Genomic DNA, 23570 nt, shown 5'->3' on the forward strand with positions numbered 1-23570 from the left:
TCTTCTCTTTACACGCTAGCCAAAATTATCTTTCATAATGTAAATGTCAGTATGTCTTTCCCATGCTTAAATTATCATGTTAGTCCTCCGCTTAAAGTTTGAATTTCTTATTTATTTTATTGGATCTTTATAGCAACTGCTTAGCTCTCTAGCATCATTTCACCACTTCCCATCTTACCTGGTAAGCTCCATTTATCTGAGTACTTGAAATTTTTAGAACACAGTCAGCTTCCTAGTACCAAGACTCCTACAACATGCTATTCTCATTTTTAAAATGCTCCCACGACACATATTTCTGTTTCAGATTTCAGGTGAGCTTTTGCTCCACTTAGCTCTCACATTTAGTAAGTTTTATAGGAAATCACACATAGCTTTATGTACTTTTGCTGTCTTCTTTATGTACCTTGGCTGTCTCCTACAATGGTATTTTCATACTCTGTAACCAGTCTCTGTAAACCTCAATAGACTAAGCATCACAAGAGCAGTACCTAGAATACAGTGGCTGCAAATACCTATGAGTGGGAAGAATTAACAACAAACGTATTAATTTTTCCATCTCTGCTCAATATTTTTATTTGTTTAAGTAGTTAAAACTCAGCTACATAAAGAATAATTTTCAATATCACTTACCAACCTTTTATAATGAATTGAAGAGAAGAGATTTTGTTATTTTTCACTCAATGTCCAACTTCCCTAGATCATAAGCTCACTTGCATAGTGTTGCAGACAGAACAAGGGCCTCACAAAGATGCCCATGTCCTCATCCCTAGGATCTGTGAATATTTACCTTCCATGGAAAAAGGGACTTTACAGATGTGATTAACTGAGGGGTCTTGAGATGAATGATTATCCTGGGTTATCTAGTGGCCCAATGTAATCACCCAGATTCTTATAAGTGGGAGGCAACAAAGTCAAAAAGCAGTTGTAGAACATGTGATGATGAAAGCAAGAAATTGACATGATGCATGAAACAAACCATGAGCCAAGGAATGCATACTACCTCCAGAAGCTGAAAACAGGCAAGAAAGCAGATTCTCCCTTAAGAACCTCAGAAGAAGCCATCACTGCCATCTCCTTAATTTTAGTCCTGCGAGACTGATTTCAAACTTGTGAACTCCAGTACTTTATGGAAATAAATGTGTGTCATTTCAAGCTACTAAATTTGTTGTGGTAATTTCTAGAAGCCATAGAAAACTAATACACGTACTGGCTGTCAGTTAGTAAGAAATAAATAATATTTATTGTATGAATAAAGCAAAATCCTAAAGGCATACCTGAAAAACAGAGAAATGGCAAAGTCAGTGTAAAGAGTCCATGGCCACAGATTATTTATCCACTGTTTTGGGAATGATGATTAGAAATAATTTTAGGAAAAATTGCAGATGTAAACAGAAGTACCTGATGAGTTGAAAAGTGTAGAATAGAAGCTGTGTTTCTCGCAGTTTAGTATGGACCAGAAACAGCTGGTGGGCTGAGCCCCACACCCACATTTTGGATGCAGGAGATCTGTGATGGAGCCTAAAAGTGCATTTCCGCCAACTTCCAAAGGCAGCTACTGCTGTTGATCTGTGCTGATGGTCCACGCATTGAGTCATTTGGATCAATAAATATCCTGTACTTTTGATTATCCTTGTTTTCCTCATCAAATAATTTTAATAGCCTGTCTTTTTCATGTTTTCAAACATCTCTTATATGGCTTTTACGTCCTACTCATTTTCCAAGTCTTTCAAAATATTTTCATTTTCGTATAAATTAGTTTTATTTCATATTATATGTGAAATTTTTATTGACTTTTTAAATTGAAAAATTATTCAAAATTGCATTACATTTTTAAAAAGATCTGCAAGTCTTCAGTCTGACTTCATAAGTATAGATGAATGGAGACATTTGGAGGGATGATGGGCAAACTAACTTTAAAATAAAATAATGAGGAATGATAAATGTCAGGCATAAAAATATATGCTCTATGACTCTATATTACATTTAAAAAGCAGAAACACATAATTTTTTTAAAATAGAAGCTCAGAATAATGGTTTTCTTTGGGGTTCTGGAAGGGGACAGATACTATATGGCAAGGAGGCCAGTTGTGGGGCTGTCATGTTCTGTCGACTGATTTATTTGCATGTGTATTCAACAAGCTATACACTTAAGACTTGTGCAGTTATCGGCATGTATTTTATAACTTAATTTTTAAAAAGACTTTAAAAAGTTTAAAGAACTGTTTCACATGTGTTGGCTGAAGGGTGTTTTGCTTATGATTGGATCTTTTTGTGTATATTTCCTTGAAACAATTTCTCTATTGGCAAAGTGATTTGAAATAGATACTCTGACAGAACCATATCCTGAGATTTTTTTTTTGGAAACAAGTAGTTTTTAAAAAGTGAAAATGTCTATTGCCTTTGGACATGTTCAACAATAAATTTCTGTTGAGTGTTTAACATTTTCATATACATGAATCTTAAAAATCCATCACATATATGTACCTGAGAAGATAATTTATTTGAGCCCCTTTATGTTAAGGAATTAAATAACTCTGTTAATACATGCAATATAAGACAGAACAGTAAGTAAAAAAAAAATTAAAGTTTCTGTTAATTAAACAATATTTTACCGTTTTATGAATAGAAAAATCATTGTGTTTATATTATTTTTTATTTCATTTCTTTGCTTTTCTTGCCTATAATCCATTCCAGAAGCATTGTTTTATAGTTAGCTGAATTATAAAGAGGTGAAGTAATTGGTTATTCAGTCAGTAATTCTACTGGATTAAAAACAGGACAGGTTGGTAATGATCCAGCCAAAGTGAATAAAAAGAGAACAGGTAAGCACATATGGTACAACATCTGCTTTCAAACTTAGAAAATATCTTCTCTAATCCCCAAAGCTTTCTTGGCTTTTCTTCTTAATTCTCTTTCTTTGCAGAAAGCACTGTGAAAACACATCCTGACTATTTTTTACATTTATTATAATTTTTCCAAATATTAAATCACTACAATTTCCATTTCACAGTTTCTGATCCTATCACAAAAGCTTCTGAATACCGAAGCAAATAGATTTAGAATAGTTAAACATAATACTGAATCTGAATCTCAAAGAGAATCTTTCTCTTCTTTAAGTGGATTCAGTCTGTTTCATTCTTTATCTTTTGTGATAGAAAGTATTTTTTATTTTTTGAAAGCCTGTCAACACATTGTAGGAATGTTATGCAAACAAGTGTATTATATATTTACTTGTATTATTCCTCATCTTCACTGAAGATAGCTGAATGCAGCCAGACGTCATTTTGAACACAGTAGTGCTTTGAAAATACAGTTGTCCCTTGGTCTCTATAGGGGGTTGAGTCTAGGACCCTCGTGGATATCAAAATTTATGGAGGCGCAATTCCTTTATATAAAATGGTGTAGTATTTGCAGATAACCTACTCATATTCTCTTTTATGCTTTAAATCATCTCTAGATTATTTATAATTATTAACACAATGTAAATGGTATGTAAATAGTTGTTATAGTGTACTGGTTTTTAGAATTTGTATTATTTTTTGTTATCGTATTGGTATTTTTAATTGTTTTTTTCCAGATATTTTCAACCCATGGTTCATTGAATCCAGGATATAGAACATGTACACTGTAATTGTTCCTTTCCTTGCCACAGTGATTTTAAATTGCTATGCTCTTAAAAGGCTAAATAAGACAGGTTAGTTCTAAACTGCTTCGTTTGATTCCTGATATTCAAAGTTTCTGATAATTCAAAAATTCAACCTGATTTATAAAGTCTTTTTTTCTGTTGACTAAATAAATAAAACAGATCCTACTTAGAAGGAATATTTCTGTTGCACAAATATTTACTCTGTAATTATTTAAAACTTAACTATCAGTAATACTTATTCGTATAGTACACTAGCATCAACAGATGATTTTTTCACAATAATTTCAATACATTTCTGCTTAGTTATTCTACCTCTTATTGAGCACCTACCTTAACGGGAGTTTTCCTTGTCCATTTCATTGATCCTCACAACAATCCTATAAGGCCCCATTCTCACTGCCCAGACTAGAAACCAAGGCTTAGAGCTAGTAAAATGGTGAGTCTGATGTCACAAAGCTGCCAAAGGTGGAAGCTGGCTCTTCTTTTCTATTTTAGTTTCATCCCATAACCTATGTACATCACAGCTTATGTTAACATATTTGCTTCATAATATTTATTAATTTTAATGTCTTTTCTCTCATTTGAATTAAATAAGGGCTAATATAAAATTTCTAAATTTTATATGGAGTGAAGCATATTGCATTTATATTTAGAATGAATGTACAAACCATTCCCCCAGCAACAGCACTGGGCAAATATTGCCTATCAGAAAACTCAGAAAAACGTCATGTATGCCACTTAAGGAATTCTTTCGGGAGATTTAAAATGTTATGGTGGGTTTTCCTTATTTCTAATGATTAAGATGTATTTGTAAGATGCACTAATTATTTTCAGTCCTCAGTTTACTATTAGAAAATCATCTCTTTAGTATTCTAAATGCAGATGGTGTTTGGAAAATAGTCATTTACAATTTCCTGTCTCTCTAAAACAAAACAGATATGATGTTTTAGTTTGCTTCAGTGCTGTTCTTAAGTGTTTCCATAGTTGTGCCTTCTTGTATATTATGGCCTTACACAAGACAGTAAATTTATAAAAATGCATTTCTGATATCTATCTTTATGTTGAATTGACTTTTAAACGTCTGAATAATTTTTTTTCTACTATCAGCCATTTCTTGCTGCATAATAGTTTTTATACTATAAAGGTATAACAACCAGCTTCCCTGTACTTGTACTTTCAACTGGTGCATTATGACCATAGGTTACACTCAACAAATGACCTTAGAATTATTTAATGGTTACTCATGTTATTATTAATAAAAAACATTGTATAATGTCAGCATCTGTTTCAATAGTATCCTTGGATTATGTAATCTGACCTATTGTCTTTAGACACAGATCCTCACTGAAAGTGTAGGCACCAAGCTTTGGAATAACAGGGAAAGGAAGAGACTATTCAGAGAGAAATACAATGTAAGAGAATTTGGTATTATAGCACCAGGTGATATAGTGCTATTGTACTGTATTCCATACTCACAAAAAAATCAATGACTCCTCAAGTGCATTTATGAAAGAGAAAACAGGATGAAAAAGAGAAAGGAAAGGGATGGAAATAATCAGCTCTATTCTCCTTCTGGCAGGCAGGAGTCCAACTAAGCAGGTTTCTTAGGGAGAGAGAATATCATTTTCCTCCCTGACCAGGACTAAAACAGCTACATGCTAGAAATCTATGGCTTTCTTAGGAACTGTCACTTTTGTGGAAGGAAAGATTTAGAGGTCGTATCCAACAGTCAGGAATGCTATATAAGCACCATTTTTATATAGCAGTAGCTCCATAGGATTCCCTTTCTGCATGGCCACAAGCTTGGCCCATGATTGCTGCACATTTATGGTAAAAATGATTCAGCAGCGTGGAGGGGAGGGGTGGCATCTCTCTTTTCGCCTAAAGTAACTCTTCGTTTTCTTTAACATTTTTTCTTGATTTACCTTAAAACAAAAAACACCTTCCCCATTGGGAACAGAATTGATAAGTAATCCATATATAATATATCCAATAAATATTTTTCAACCACAGTGACAGACACACACACACACACACACACACACACATTTTATGCTGATTTCATTTGAGTTAGGAATAAAATCCACTATAGAAAGTTAAAATATCTGCCTGTCTAAAGATGTAGTCCAGAAGCTGCATTTTTAATTGGATTCAGAAATTACATTACTTGAGCACACAGTAGGGCCCAACGTACACAAACTAGTTTATTTCATTTTTTCTAATGATGCTTCTAATGAAAATAATCAATCTAACTATCAAATATGAAGCTATGTCTCTAAATCTCTAAATTTTATAAAAGCTTATAATTTGATTTTTACTTGACAATGCATTTTATTAATTATTTAAATATGAATTTATTACTGGCATAAATATACCTGATTGACAATTAAGTATGCCTTTCTTTGTGCAATAGAGTAATGCATTCCTATCCTATGTTTCAGACACTTAGGATCTTTAAATTTGCAAATAACATTAGTCTACTTCTATTGCTAGATGATGAAGGTGGGTAGTGATGGGTTAATTATCAGTGTCTAGCTTTAAAGTTCTGATTAGTACAGAAGTTCTTTTCTTTTACTTATCTGTTTATTCACTATTAAGTTTTAAGCTTGGCATGCTCTAAGATTAGAAGCACTTTTTTTTTCTGCATTGTTGGTAGCTACTCATGAAAGTCCTCAGAACCATTTAATAGGTCGCAAGCTGATGTGTATAATTGATAGTGGACAGTAAAGCTTTTTGTATTCAGCCTGAGATTAAGAGGTTTAAGTGTAAGATAGTTTACATTACCACTGATTCCTTATCTTTACAATGAAGATCAAAAGTGAAAAAGTATAACTAGAATAGAAAAACAAACCATTTTTTAATCTACGTTAACAATTTATGTTAGTTAATCACTAAATCTCACACTCAGACTGCTAAAACTCTTTTTCTGTCTTGCTTTATTTTCTTCTTTTCCTTCAGGTGCACTCTACTGAATGTACTCAGATAGTTCCTTTCTTCCTGCCACTTAGTAGCATCTAACAGAGTTGTCTCAGGACTTGGAGTCTCTTACTATGTAAATATCCTAGCCACTGATCACCCTTTCACTATTTAGATATTTATATGTAAGGCCTCTTGAGTTCCTATGCATATTACTATTCTTATGGAGGGATGACTGACCTTCTAATTAGTAGGGCTCCTTCCTTATGAATGGCTTTTGCTGCTAGCAGAGAGAATGACACCCCTAATAAGTCTATTCCAGACACTTAATGCTTCATAATTACACTGTAATTAAAATTGCTTGATCTAAGAAAAAACAATGGATTTAGTTTAAAACTAATAATAAAAGTGTGAAAACTTTGGTTTCTAAATTTTACAGTCACTTTCTTTTTGTTATAAAATGAAACTTAAAAGAAAAAGCTTTGTAGAAAGAATGATTTGATAGCACTTTTTTTTCATTTTTTAAGAGCAACCAATTTCATGCATCTTAAAAATATATGCATTTTTTCTGGTATGAAATATAAGAGAAAAAGTGAAAAAGAAAACTTATGGTAATAATATTTATTGATAAAAGCCATGCTCACCATTTTTTCTAGCATATATATAATTAATATAGGCTAGTAAATATAATAGAAGTTACTTGTTCCAAATTTGTAGCATCATTATACATTAATGTTTCACGTGTTTTTGCAATGTTATCCACTACTGGGAACACAGGCAGTTTATCACTCCTTTGTGTTCATATATAATCATGTCTGGATAATAAGTTAAGTTTTTATTTTAAATTTCCTTTCCCTATTTTGATCTGAATAATTATGATGTGAAGAGAGAAATCTATTTTTAAGAAAACATATCAATATTATGTATTTATTGTTTTTCATTTATTTTCATATGGCCTGGCAAGGGCTTTTCTTAGAACAGAAGAAGACGGCTAATACCAGCGTGAAAGTACAATGATAGTGTGCCTCGTGAAAATTTTAAAAATTCAATGTAATAGATATACATTTATTATTTTTAATAGAGCTGTTTTTTTTTTCTATTTCCTTTCTTTCCAATAAATGAAACTTTTACAGTCCATTGGTGGGACAGAGTCGAAACTGGATCTTTGAAGACCTCTATTGTCACCTCTATCATTATTCCTGCTCCAATGACAATGGAGAGCATACTGTCAAAGTCCTCCAGGTAATACCCTTATTACATGTGTCATTAGAGGATGTTTGCCATATCTGCTTTAACACCACAGACATTTTAAGTAGGTTATTCCATCACTTTGCCATTTTGATTATGACAACAAAATGACACCATATTGAAATGGATTTTGGAAAGAAAGGCTAACTGTCCAAAGAGGTCCATGCTCACTCTAATTAAAATTGGCTTAGGTGGCACAACCTTCATAATTCAGAGTATGACTATGAAGGATATGTATGTTGAAAACCTTCTTTGCTCATTAGTGCTATTTCTGTCAGACACCACTACCTGCTCTTTTCTTAATGAATGCTAAGCCATCTCTTTAGACGATTGTGCTGCTTCTCTGAGCTTAAGGAACTGTCTTATTTCCTCCCAAGTTTGTCAGGAGTAAAATCGGGGAGTCACCTCTTTGACATTTCCCAACCTCTGTACTTATTTATCTCTTTGAGACCTTGCGCTCTAGAGATATCACTGTCTTAATTAAGAAGAAGGATGTGACGATGGTAAATTGACTGATTTCATTGATTAAGGACTAGCTGTACAAGTAACATTGATTTTAACAGTGGGTCTACATAAACGTAATTGTTCGAACATGGGGCTGCATAATTATGGTGATGTACGAGAATAGTTGGTTTGTCCTTTTCAACCTTCACTAACATTCTTTTGCATGATAATGTACCTTGTGCAATTAGCAGAAATCTTAAATGTTACAAAATGTCTTTTGTGAAGATGTGAAGTAATAATTATATTCTAATTTAATTCAACAATATCAGTTTTTCTTTTCTTTCTTCTCATTTTTCTTCTTTTTATACACATAAGATCATGTATATGGTAACATGAATACAGAATTTTACCTTCCAGTAACAACAATCAACCCACGCAAATATATAAAACACCTATTATCCTATTATTTATTTCAAAATGAATATACTATATATGTTCTGACATTCAGCAACATTTGCTATTAAATATATTTTTAAGTGGAGTTCTCCATAGCAGGGCTTAAATCCAAAGAAAGTGCTTATTATCTTTCTACATTTTTATGAAAAAATATGTCAAGGTCACTAGTTTGTAAGAGATAAATTATTATTAAATTATTTACATGAAATCATTATTTAATAGAACAAACATAAATTAGAATATAAGATGATATAATCATTGTTATTTATGATTACTATATTTAGATAAGAAGACAAAACTAAAGTTCTATAGGATGTTACTGTAGGGGCCTCATCTCACAGAAACTAAATTTTCAAATAGATAATGTTAGGTCGTAGGCAGTTAAGTATTTTGATAATGAATGAAAGAAAAAAATTCTAATCTTGTACATAAGTGAATTTGAAAAAAAATTAAAGAGAAAGGAGTAAGAAATTTATCTAGACAAAAATTCTTGGTGAGTCCAAATCATTGGATTTTTATCATAAGCCTGCCACTAATTAGTCTTGTGACCTTTTGTAGCTGTGTATCATACATAATAAAATGTAGCTCAAAAAATAATTCAAGGGCTCATTCATCATACGGGTCTATCTTTTTTATCCACTTTTTGGCCAACTGAAAAAGGAATTCTATAAACTACTGTAGAAATACTAAGTCTCCAGGTTGACTGTGACTGCATGTGTGTTTGCTTATTTGTTGATTGCTTGTTTTTTAAGTATGCAGTGTTTGTAGCTTGAACTAAGATAGAAGGTTAATGACAAAACTGATAGCAGTGCTATTATTCCCATATGCCATTAGCATCCAAAGCCTCCCTGCATAATCACATGGTCACCTTTATATAAATTGAGCTCCACTACTTTGCATCCCTATATAATGGAGACAATATTTTTGAAATGTCATTCAATGGGTGTTCCCTTCACAGTAAGACAATTTCTCTTTTTGAATCTAGTCCTTCATTGAAGCTAAACTTAACATTTTCATCTTCCACCTACCACTTCAGAAAGAAGATATAATCCTGCCCAATTCTACTCAATACCTACGCAAACCTACCCAATAGTTACAGGAAGTAGAACATTTATAACCCAGCGAAATATAGGAAGAATAGGGAAAACATAAGTATTTAAATCAAGCAAGCTAACATAAATGTTCTCACTCCCTTCACTGGGCCAGAATTCCTGTATATTGTGGTGTATGTGTGCATCTATATGTTTGTGTGCGTGTGTGTGTGTGTGTGTGTGTGTATAATTTGACGGGTGGTGATAAAAGCCAAAAGCAGAGGGTATTTATTGGAAACATCATTTGAAATGCTGAGGGAAGATTCATATGCAGATGGCCCTATTCTAACTCAGGGTAGCTGCACTTGAGTGAAAAGCGTAGCACAGAATTTTAAAGAGAACAAGCACTCTCATGCTTTTTTGGCTCCCATGAGGGTTGGAAAAGAATCCCATGTGATGTATGCAGGAGGACAAGATCTGAACGGCCTTGATCAACTCAGCTTTCTGTGCCTCCTAATCACAGTTCTCAGAACAATTTTAGAATGTTCCAAGAATGCAATATCTTGAGATAAGGAGGACCTGTCTGGAACAGTCTGGGCTTTGTCTTCGTTGCTCCCAGAACAGGACGTTCCTGCAACTCTTAAACTCAGAGAGCCAAATTGCATGTGGGGTATAAGACCTAGGATGCAACATCTAGGGGTTCTTCAGCTGCAGTGCAAAGTCGGACATGTGCAGAGGAGACTCCATTCACCCTGGGCAACTTTCCTGACCTCAGGAAATTTTCTTTCCATATTTTCAAGGGTCAGGCTTGCCATAGAACTTAGGCTTTTGCCGATTCTTCCTGCCCCTCTGTGAGTAACAAATTCGGTTTGCCTTACTTACTATGTGAGTATTCCTCTGGCTCTGGCAGCTGGATTATAAATAAAATCTCCCTGCCAGACCTAGGAATCTTTGCAATGTATTAGTGTCATAGAGGGAAACAAAAAGTAACTGAGTTGAAAGCTAGCATCCTTAACGGGGACCACTGTAGCATGAGTCAAAATGATCCTGCTGAAAAGGCCACATGTGACCATCTCAGTCACAGCCTGGATGAAGAAGGAAGCTGAGACTCAGGTCTGAAGATCTTTTTGAAGCCAAAAGGAAGCTACTAAAGCAAGGGAATTCCACTGTATACTGATTCAAGAGAACAAGCTGCACATATATTTTTAGCTTCACCTCAATGGCCCCACTGATCAGACCAGAGAGACCCTCTGCTACAGAGAAAGCAGAGCTCTAGAGGACAGTTTGGAGACAATAAGGAACTTGAGACTCACTTTCCCTTTGCCTTGAGGCCACAGAAAGTCCAAAGCATCTGGACATTTTCTTGGAGGCATTTTCCTAAAAGAGGACTATTGAAACTTTAAGAAAAATGTGAAATGAGAAGCTAAATTGAAAATACATCTTTGACTCCAACCCCTATCCCAAGTTAACCACAAGTCTAGTGAGATAAAGGATATCATTTATACAAAATACAGAAGTTATATTTTCTTTATGTGAGCAGAAATATGTTCAATTGTACTCACTAAATATATTTTGTTTTACTACTAGGAATAGCCATTTCTTTGGTCATGGCTTTATTTTATAATTATCTTTATTTAATTTCATATCAGTCTAGAGACTTTCCCATTGGACGAAGTGTTGAACAAAGAGGAAGATGCTTACTATGTTTCAAGTACTGTGCTGAGCATTTGAAACATGTAGTCTCACAGCTGATTTACACACTTACATAGCTTAAGATATACAAATGATTACATATCTTAATCCAGTGTTAATGATAAGATGCATTCCAAGATTTGTTAAGAATATGGGGATAAAAGCCTACCTGATGTTTGAGTTTTTCATGCATACACACACCTATCCTTTTTCCAGTAAAAAGACAGTTCAATTATAGGGAGAAACGCACTAAATATATTTTTTTTAAATCCTTTCACATTCTAGAGACATGTAGTCACTTTCACTGAAGCTGGAGTTAGAGAAGGAGATCATTGCAAAAGTTTGTTCTTGAAATATGAATAGTTTTTCCTTGTCAGGTAGAAGAGGAGCACAGACTAGGGGAGAAGAATAAGACCTGAAAATAAAAAGGAGTTTGGAAACCCGGGAATCATGTAGAAAATCATTTTGCGCATCAATACAAAATGGCAGTGTTGAGAGATGAAGCTAGTGAGTTGTCAGAGCCAAATTATGAGTAATTCATGCTTTATTAGAAGGACTTCAGATTTCATCCCAAAGACAGTGGAAAGCCACTGGAGGTTTGAAGCAGGAGTGTGACATAATCTAAATTGCATTAAAAAGCTTCTCTGCCATCAACGTAGAGTTTGATTTTGATAGAAGACACTAAGAAACAAATATTCCAGTTCAGAAGCTTCTGCAAAAATCGCAGGGAGAAATAGTGTCTATGTGAAATAACTCAGTGACAGGTGGAAGAAGAGGTGGATGGAGCTGGAAAGATAAGAGAAATTCTTATCATCAAGTGACAACTCTACTTGCTTTTTCTACCAAACTCTACAGGAATGGGATAAGTAATTACCACATGAACAACTATACAAACAGTTTTGGGGCCCTGATTTCCCTGATAATCCTTTGATTACTCTTGGGCTCTCCTGAGACTGTATGTCTATGAATTTTTGATAGTCTTGGAAGGCAGTTGAACAATGAATCATAGTCCACTGTGTCAAAGAAAATCTCTGATTTCTTCATAAGATCATATATGTGTGATGCCATGGTCAGGAGCATTTCTTGTTTTATTTAATTATTTTTATGGGTGAAATAACAGAAGTTCAATACATGCTTCATCCCCCTGGAGCAAATATAATATATAAATACTATTTATATATATAATATATAAACATTATATAATATATAAACATTATATAATATATAAACACTATGTTTTATATGTATAATATATAAACACTATGTTTATATATTTGCCCCAGGGTGATGAAACATGTATTGAAACTTTATTATTTTTATTAATTGTTGTTTTTATAAATCTACATATATACACAGTATGTTATATATGTAGATTTTAAAGTATATTATTAATAATTTTATAGATTATTAGATGGAAATATTTAGTTGAGTTATTTTTTCATAGTTTAAGTAGAATTATGTGAATATATATCTCCTTTTTGTAATTGATTTTGGACTGTTGTGTTTCATAAACAATAATAATAATAGGTAACATTTATTACAACTTCCTGTGTGTCAGGAATGACACTAAATGCTCCACATGAATTTTCTCATTTAATCTTCACCTACACAATGAGATAGGTGCTATTATAAAAAAACTAAGATTCATGAAGTTAACTCAAGGTCACGTAACTCAAATGTGGTAGTAGGCTCAATTCAAATCCAAACATTGGGCTCTAAGTCCTCTGGTACAGGTGGGTTTATTTTGCCTGGGATATAGTAGTTGCTTAATAAATATCCATCAGTTTAATAAGCAAACAGATTTTGTGCATCTATACAGAAATGTTAAACTTATATACAGTGACCTAAAATTATCTTCCCTTGGAGCAATGAGTAGACATTGGACAACATAATCTGTGGATTACATGAGGAGATTTGCCTTTTTGGAGGCAAAGTCTAGTTCAAAAAAGAAAAATACTTATGAAAAAGTACAGATTTGAGGTAGTAAATCTAGTAAAAGAGCCATTTTAGTAATTCAGTTGAGAGTTTCAAATAAAACAATGGCAGAAAAAAAATGTGATACACGTTATGGAAGGTGAACTAACAGAAGTTAGTGAGTAAGAGGATAGTATAAATTGGGAGGAGAAACTAGTCAGTTTTCTCCATAATACTATGCAACAGTATCTAAAATTCACAATTGCTTTCCTTTAGTTACATTTATGGGGATATGCCTCATAGAATTTGTTGCACCAATTTTGAAATTTGGTTGAGGACAGGAAACATCATATTCAGAAACTACAAAGTGAGAAAAAGAGAAAAAGCAGCAATTGGAAAAGAAAGTATAAAACTTAAGTGTGTGACATTTGAATTCTAAGATATCCTAATATTTCTCTTTTATGACCTATTTGATTTCACCCTCTATCTGTGTTCTTTTCAAGTCAAGTGCGCAAGTATCACTGGAGTCTATTATGTATATTCAGCCATTTTAGAAATTAGATACCTATAGCTGGCCGGTGCTATGCTAAACACTTCACCTATTTAATTACTTTACAGTTAAATACAAATATATGTCTTCAATTACCAATAAATTTATATAGGCAGGAAAAAATCATGCAAACTCAGGTTCTCTGTAAATTCAGAGGGTGAAATGAAACATCATGGGTTATTGTCAAAAGGAAAGGCCTCAGGAGGAAAGCAAGGTTTGGGTTGAATTTAGGAAGCTGTTATAACTACTTATACCAGGCTTCTTCCTAATCACTCCAAAGGATTACATTTATGAGGAAAGCTGTGTCTGCTTTTATGATGCTTAGAGTCTCTTTGAGAAATGTTTAAAACTTGAATTGGCTGAAAACTGATAGAGAGCACCTCAAAACAAAGAATGGTATCTATAAAAGAATTCTCAGGAAACCAACATATTGGAGTGGAGAGCCCCTACTGGCGAGTAGTAGAAGACTATTGTGAGTAAATAAAACAAGACCATTTTATTGTGAACTCTTCAGGAACATATCAGGTTCTTGGGAAAACTCATCTTTGTATAATTGACACAACATAAGACTACCTGTTCTTTCTTTAAAATGAGTCCTTGGAACACAATCAGTCAAAGAAATGTCAATTCAACTTCAAAAGTCTCTGAGAGTAATTTGAAGCTTACTTCAGTGTTTCTTGAAGGGACAGAAGTTTTACAGTGTATCAGATAGGAAATCTTATAATTTATCTTTAGATATCTTTTTAAATTCTCTAGGTCCCTCTCTACTCATTCACTTCAGAACTGAGGAATTTGTATCCTACCCCTGATAAAAACCCATACACTGTGCGTGGGGACCTTATTAATCTTTTCTTAGACTTCTTTCCCACTCCTTCTACCCCAGAATGAGCAGCCCTTTTTAAGCTCTAATAAATAAAAATATTCATATTAAAACATCATCTTCTGAGAAAGGCAAAACCATTACACAACTTAAGAGTGGAGGTAGAGAAAACATTTTTTTAAAAAGTAAAACCTAAAATTATATGCATTAATAGATGTATTGTGATGTGTGTGTATGTGTGTGTGTGTGTGTCTGTGTTTGCTTTTACTAACAACATACTTTCTTCCCATTTCACTTCTTTTCCTTCTGGATTGGGCATTTAACTTTTTTTGTTTCTCCTGATAATTTTATTGCCTTCATTAAAGAGGTAGAGTTTACTATAATTTGTTCCTAGAAGACATGGTAATTTCTCTAGAAGTAAATGCCATTTCAATGCTTTTTCAGAAGTGTGTTTTGGTCACACAATGCCCCTTCACAGTGCAATGGCAACAAATATGAGAAAGCAAAGTCCTGGACAATTCACCCCTTGTTCCCTTATTAGTATGTTTGCCACTCCACGCTGAAGCAATGGTAGCTGAGAACCTGACTATCCAAGACACCGTTTTTTGTTGTTGGAGTCGTTGTTGTTGTTTTCTAGACCCTCTGATGGAAGCAAATTAGAAGATGGCATTTCCACCAAGAGCCCTGGACTGGTTTAGTCTGAAGAGCCTGCTAGTCTTCATATACTAGAACCTTGCTTTTTCTTTTGCTTTCTTTTTTTTGGAGATGGAGTCTCGCTCTGTCACCCAGGCTGGAGTGCAATAGCGCGATCTCAGCTCACTGCAAGCTCCACTTCCCAGGTTCACACCATACTCCTGCCTCAGCCTCCCGAGTAGCTGGGACTACAGGCGCCCGCCACCACGCCCGGCTAATTTTTTTGTATTATTAGTAGAGATGGGGTTTCACTGTGTTTACCAGGATGGTCTCGATCTCCTGACCTCGTGATCCGCTTGCCTCGGCCTCCCAAAGTGCGCCGCCACGCCCAGCCAGAACCTTGCTTTTTCAACATCAAATTTAATATGGGTTGGCTGCATCAATTCCATTAGCAAAGTCCCGAAAATAATAGTTGCACATTTTTAAGTGTTTGTTTAAAGGAGTAACACATAGTGATACAAATTTTACACAATATATCACACAGGAAAAAAATCTTACAAAAGATTTTCCTTATGCAATTATAATTAATAAATAAACGACTGCGGAAAATGGAAAATCACCTTTAGAATACCACTGCACTAAATGCCTCAGGCCAGATCCACTACTGAATACTGACATTATTGGGCAAAAGTTGGAAGACAAATGGCATATTTGTAAAGCCTCTAATTATCTCTTCCAAAATGTCTATTAATTACTCTTGTGATTTTAATATAGGCCTACATATTCTTTCATTTTTTTCCCAAGAAGTGAAGCTTAATTCCTCTTTCCTTGAATGTGGGCTGGATGTAGGAGTCATGCAATGCGTATGTAATATGGAAAGGGAAAAAATTTTACTTCACAGCAGAGAAACCTGGCAGATGCCACCTTAAATGGTTAATATCAGCAGTAATGAGACATTTTGCTCTCATGTACCCCCAATTTGACACGATAAGAAAAAAAATATCATCTCTGTGGTAGGCTTCTCCAAAATTCATAGCCTCAATTGAATCATGAGAAAACATCAAGCAAACCCATATTAAGAGATATCCTATGAAATACCTAAATAATCCTTTTCAGAAGTGTGAAGGATATGAGAAACAAGTTTTCCATGAGGATCTGTCATAGAGTGGAGAAGATGAAGAAGGCACAGCATTTAAATACAATTGGTATCATAGATTGAATCCTGATGTTGGTGTAAGATTTGGGCAATCTAAACAATGTCCGCATTTTAGGTATGGTATTGTTCCATTGTTAATTTTTTGGTTTGTATAATTCAAGATATTATAGGTTTTATTAGATATTGCAAGATATTAACAATAGATGATGCTATGTGGTGGGTATAGGGGGACTCTGTACTATACTTGCAATTTTTTCTGAAAGTCTCAAAGTATTTCCAAATAAAGTCTACAGCAAAAGTTGAATAAAAGTATATCTGAAATTATCTGTCCCCTCAAAAAAATAAATAAACTCATGGCCCAGTGGGGTGGCTCATGCCTGTAATCCCAGCACTTTGGGAGGCCGAGGCGGGTGGATCACAAGGTCAGGAGTTCGAGACCAGTCTGGCCAACATAGTGAAACCCCATCTCTACTACAAATACAAAAAATTAGCTGGACATGATAGCAGGCATCGGTAATATCAGCTACTCTAGAGGCTGAGGAAGAAAAATCGCTTGAACCTGGGTGGAAGAGGTTGCAGTGAGTCAAGATCGCACCATTGTGCTCCAGCCTAGGCAACAACAACAAGACTCTGTCTCACAAAACAAATAAATAAATATATAAATAAACTCTAAACTCTTTATCCTTCTAAAATTTCACATACATGAATTAGTTAAAAACCCCTGATTTTTCTCTTCATGTGCTTTTCCTCATGACATGATGCTGTTTTTGATCTCCTTTCCCTGATATTTGTTGAGAACCTGTCTATTTATCCTAAGCAAATTAATGCAGGAAAAGAAAACCAAATATTGCATGTTCTGGCTTAGAAGTGTGAGCTAAATGTGGGGGTATGCATGATCATGAAAATAGAAACAATAGACAATGAGAACTACTTGAGTCTAGAGAGAAGGATGGGAGAAAGGACTGAAAAAAACAGCCTGTTGGATATTTTGCTCAATACCTGGGTGATGGGATCATTAGTACCCCAAATCTCAGTATCATGCAATATAGCTATGCAACAAACCCACATATGTACCCCCAGAAACTAAAATAAAGGCTGATGTTTTTAATGAAAATAAATGAGTGAAAGAAAAAGAATAACCCTCTACAGGTCTAACATGTCTTTCCCTATCATACAAAGGAGCCACTTGAATCTTGAGTTTTTAACTGAGTCTTGTGGGAGTAGGAGGGTGAGATTAGAATTATGTTCTCACACTAGTTTTCTCATTCTGGAGTCATCCCTGAAGGGATTTGGAACCTTTGAATCACTTTGCAATGAATGTGGAGTCACAACAACTGGATTCTAATCCTTACTCTTTTGCTTATTCTTGCTCTGTCTCCTCAGAATAATCATTTAACCTCTTTAGCCTCACTGTCTTCAACTACAGAATTGTGACAATTGTGTTACAGAGCAGCTACTGTAATCATGTGTTTGAATATCCTTCAAATTTGTCCACTTTTCGTCTCCCTCCAGCACTCACTCTATCCCAGAATAGATCGTTTCTTCTCTGAACCATTGTTAATAGCGTTTAAACTGATTGACCTGTATCTATACTGCCACTTATCCCATCCATTCCTCACCCTGTGATATAAGCTATCTATCTAAAACATAAGTCTAATAATTCCATCTTTCTCATTCAAACCTTCCAAGCCTTTCCATGGCTTCTGAAATAAATACATTCCTTAAATTGCCTGAAGACCCTACAAGCTTAAATTTATTTCTCTGTTCTTCTCCAGGCCCTTTATGTACCATGCTCCTCCAAGCCACCTTAACTCCAGCCACAGCATTCTTTTTTCAGCCTTTGATGTTCACCATGCACCCCTTCCCCTGACCCAGTGCTTCTCCACATCTCTGCTTCTGTCTGGAGTTCTCTTCTCTTCCTTTAGTGAACTTCCATTTTTACTCCTTTCTCCACGTTTCAGCCCAGTTCACATCCTCAGGAAAGACTCCTCAAGCTTCTTTTTCAACACAATATAAACATTTACACAGCTATGTGCATCTATTCATTATCATGAAATTCAGTAGAATTTTTCAATGTATTTGTGTGATTATTTGACTGATGCCTATAACTTATTCAAGATTAAGTCTTACACCAGAGCTTGTAGAGAATAAGATCATTTATATTTTGGCTTAATACAGTGTTTAATAAAGTGCTTGGCACATGTCAGTACGTGAAAAATACTTGTTTAATATTTTGCCATTATTGGAATACTATATAAATGTATATATTGTCACTACATCACTACCTAAATTGTGTCTTTGTTCAATGCCACCATGATGTTTTCAGAGTTTAAGACTAACTTGAATTTAAAATGGACATACTCTGTCATTGTTGGAAAGAGGTTACTGTGTCTCAGGAAATTAGTAGAAAGAATTAAAAATAAATTACAGCCAACTCTTATTATTCTTGGCATTTATGCTCTGCAATCTGCCACAAACACTGATGAGCATATGTTGAACAATTGCTCCTAGGAGAAATACAGGGCTAGGTTCCTAATAGCTTTTGGTCAAATCTTTACCTCAACTGATCAGGATATAACCTTGTTTTATGCATGTTTCTGTTTTAAAAACTTTAGAATATATCGTTGATTCATTACCATTGAATTCATGGACAACAGGAATCATGTATAACAAAACGTACATAGCCTTCTTGTGTTTAGGAACATTAGACAACACTTCATCACTGTGCTTGGGGGTCTGTTATAAACGTCTAAATCACTAATAAAAGCCATAAAAGTGCAAAAATATTGACATTAAATATATTGCAAAACAGGACACCTATTTATAGTATGATAGATAGCTGAAACAAGAAGCAAAGTGTTGTCTTGTTAGATCTCAGCTGGTGATGTACAAGTCAGGTAACTCATATTTCTCACCAGTCTGCACATGCCCTTGGATGACTGTGCTGCAAATATTAATTTGAGGGTTAAAAATTAAATTTAGTAAGTACATAAATTCACAAAAAAAGAGTCAGGAAAAAAGAAGATTGCCATGTACAGTTGGCCCTCCTTAGGCCAACTATGGGACCTGAACATTTTCTAATTTTGTGATGTAGGTAGGCGGTGTCTTGGAACCAATCCCCTGTGAATCTTGAGGAATGACTGGTATAAATTGCCTCAAGGTAATCTATGGGTGATTTCTTTTGTGTTTTCTTCTAATTCTTTTTTTTTTGAAACTGACATGTAGGCTGAAAATGCTTAAGGACTTTCTTCTTTTTCAGAAATAATCTATTCTGAAAATATATCTTCTTTCTGAAGTATATGATTATCTCCATTGACTTTTTAACTGTTAATACACAGAACCAAACAAAAATGTTGTCTTTAGACAGCAAATATGTTATTAAAGCTATTGTATTACCACATATTCATACGGTATACAATAATTACTTAAGTACATCATAAGCATTTTTAAAAGTGTTTTTATCGTATCTTTAGTTTGGTTCCAAACAAATAGATGTAAAGTTTGACACACTCCTACATACATTTGCCACCGCTAATGTTGAGGTTCTTGTCAGGAACATGGATATATTAAGGATGGTTTCAGCAAAAGTCACATTAGGGAGGAAATAAGGCAAAAGCACTGCCCTCTTTCCAAGCTGAAGTCATACAGATATTACCTTAAAAATAGTATTTTGTACTTTTATTTGCATATATATATACTTTATATTTAATGCATATTTTATCTATTATATTACATATATGGATAGTGCATATATTGTGTAATTTAAACGCTAATTCACTTAATACCATCTTTCTATAGTATATATTGCAAACATCAATAACATATTCATTTTTAAGACCAGTGACAACTATAACATTTCCTGATGCAATTGAAAACATGACAGTTTAGCTTTTTTTTTTTATTAGAAAATGCCTGTTTTAAGTAGAAATGTCCATGCCAAAAGTGGACATTAAAAAAAATAAAATTTTAGCAGGTAAACACTCAGTACTCACATTAAGAATGCAATTTTGTGTCAAAGCTTTAAAGGACTTCAATTTTTTATTTCAGTAAACAACAAGAATGTTGTTATTATGGTATATTTTAATTAGGACATATGCATGCAGCATGTGAAATAAGAAAAAAAAAGCACCAGAGCAAAGGTTAATGGCCACGTATTTGGTTTTAGAAGGTGCTAGCATGCCAATAATATAATTTGAAGAATAATTTTATGTTTTGTAGTGTACACCTGTTCCTATTGCACTGAATAGAATTGAGAACCTTATACAGTTGAATAGTGTCATGAGTTTGCACAGAAAGGGGTAGGAACACCTAAGCATCCAAGCCAAGGTGAAATAATGTGTACTTTTTAAACTTTTAGTCCTTATTCTATTTACACTACTTTTTCCTGAGCTATATAACACTTCTCCAGATATTAGTGACGATACAAAGGAATCGATTTTACCAGGATTTCTAATACTGGCAGTCTTCTGTTCACTTGTGTCATTTTTTTATTTCAGCTTGTTGTGGAGGGAGTGGTACATCAGAGAAGAAATGAGTTGAGAGAACCGGTAAAATTGTTTTGTATTTGTTTGTTGCTCTTGGAACGTCTGAGAATAATCTCAGTCTCCATACATTTGCACTCACTCTCTCTCACACACACTGTCTCTATATCTATATATAGAGATACACATAGACAAATATATATAGATATATGTACATATATTTAGCAAAGAATATATATATACTTTTCATGCCATACTCTCTGCCATATAAAATGATGACCAAAAATGAGGAATTTTATAATACTAGTTTCTGCTAGAATTCTTTTGTCTTACAAACCTCAAACTGTTTGAGGCAAGTGCTAAGTACTATGTTTAGCTGATTGCATGTGCCAAGTAAATGCTAATAAGGTGAATAATAATTTGGAGATAACTAGTGGAATCTGTAACTAGGTATCTTCTCTGGCAAAGCAGACCTAGCAAGGTGACTTTTCACACGCTTGAATCGACCTGTCTCATCTGATGTTAAAGAATTGCTATCCGTCTGCTAATGTCTAAATGAGAAGCTGAGTCTGCAAGTCAAGGCACTACACTTATATTGACTTTTTGGTGTTTGTGAGTAGCTCTGTTTATTTGCCTACATTGTACCACATGCAGACACACCAAAAAGATTTCGGTTTCAGTCATGCAGATCACAGCTGAATCATAGATATCTAGGCAGCCCAAAACACGAACATACTTTAAATGATGAAAATAATAGCATAAGAGTCACAGATCTGGAAAATCATAGAAGTCAAACTCGATGAAGGATATAAGTCAAAGACATGAACAAAATAAATCACTTCTATAACAAAAAGTTTTTTAGAATGCTGTAAAATATAGATGTTGCTAAGTGACGAGAAAACCAAAGTGAATCTCAGAATTGTGCACTTTATATATTTATGCAAAAAGTCATCTAATATTTAGATTTGTTTGTGTCTGGTAAAATGCCTGTAGATTAAAGGTGTTTGAGATCACTGGCTGTAAATCAAATGTGATAAACATATGCAGGGATGGCTATGAGGACTGAGTAGATAGGACCTCATCTACTTACATGGGCAACTTTTTGTGATAAATTAAATATTTTTCTTCTATTTTGGAAGCATGATTTTATTTATCTCAAAATTAATATTATCCTAATACATATATTTATTAAAAATAAAATCTAACCCAGATATTCATATTGCCTATTTAAGGATCACGCAAAACACCATAAAAAAACAATAAAAAGACATTAATACAAGGCAGAAGAAAACAGACATGAGCTAGGGTTAGGTGTGTGGTATCTGTGTAAGTGATACAGAGAGATTCTCAGCTTCGCAGCTCTGTGTAGTTAACACACTAAATGGAGTTAGAACTACCCAAATAATTAGTTGCTTTTCTCAAAAATAACAGTGGAATGACTTTCTTTCTAATTTATTAGAAACTAGAAAGTATTATTAGATGAAATCTAATGATTATCTCCAATTCCTCTAATATCTATATCACCGTTCCACCTGAAAAGTCACCGAGTTTAGAATCAAAGGACAAACTGCTGTCTAAATCTTGAATGATTTTTTTCTTTTTTTCTAGCTGAAAGCTGTAAGTGTAAAGTATACTGGTGACTTTGTTTTATTATCAACTTCTTATTTTTGTTAGGCACTAAAATAAAAAGACTCTTTTACTTTTGACAGTGGATTCACTGCAGCACAAATCACTGAAAATTATTGCAAGTCTCTCTGTGTTAAATACTCTACGCTGAGTGTATCTCAGTATTAAGACCATTAAAACATACATTCATAATAATATGCTTCTTTAGTCAACTCCTCCTTTCAATCGTGAGTTTCTTCAGGCCTGTGCCACTCATTCCCAATCCCTGGTTTTGATTATCACACACAGAAGGTGCTCAATAAATATTTGTGGAATGATTGAAAGTGAATAGTAAAATTTATATTTAAAGATAGTGTACATTCATTAAAATCACTGCTCATTGGTTAGTGCCTTTAATTCAGTTTAAGATTTTAAATAAAAAATAAATCTTACAATTCCTTTTTTCTAGCTATTCCATTAATATCAGCCTCCTTTAAATGCTCTTTGTTTTTCCATAAGCATATGTTCTACATTTTTATGTAATTTGAAAATTTGTTATTCAGCTATGAAATCTTTTGAGTGCATTATATTATTGAAAAGGGTATCAAATATTTACTGTATATATAAATAAGAAAGTTGAATCTGCTGCATTCTTACACCAATAAAATGCAAAATCACCAAACTAACAAAAAAAACTTGAAAAATATAAGTTTAGATGTAAGGGTCTATACAATGATTATAGAATATTTATTGGAAATTAGAAAGTATTATTAGATGAAATCACAATTGTCCACATTTTATGATTTTACTGCAGCCTAGTGAGGCTTTTCTCTTATTATTCTAGAAAATATAGCAATGAGATTTGATTATAATACCTTAAATAAAGATGGTTTCAAAACCTATTTTAAAATTAATAATCTACTAGATTTTTCTAAAAGGATTCTGTGGTTCTTTGCAGGTAACTCACTAGGTTCATGA

The 23570-nt window shown here is 33.9% G+C and overlaps 1 annotated feature.

The window, feature by feature from the left end:
* Positions 7550-8826: an enhancer, noted in NCBI's record as "VISTA enhancer hs605". NCBI's record gives its function as "enhancer in: midbrain (mesencephalon)[7/13]" and the evidence as "EXISTENCE:transgenic organism evidence [ECO:0001131][PMID:17130149]".

Source organism: Homo sapiens, chromosome 12 (genome assembly GCF_000001405.40).
Source record: "Homo sapiens chromosome 12, GRCh38.p14 Primary Assembly".
NCBI classification, from domain to species: domain Eukaryota; kingdom Metazoa; phylum Chordata; class Mammalia; order Primates; family Hominidae; genus Homo; species Homo sapiens.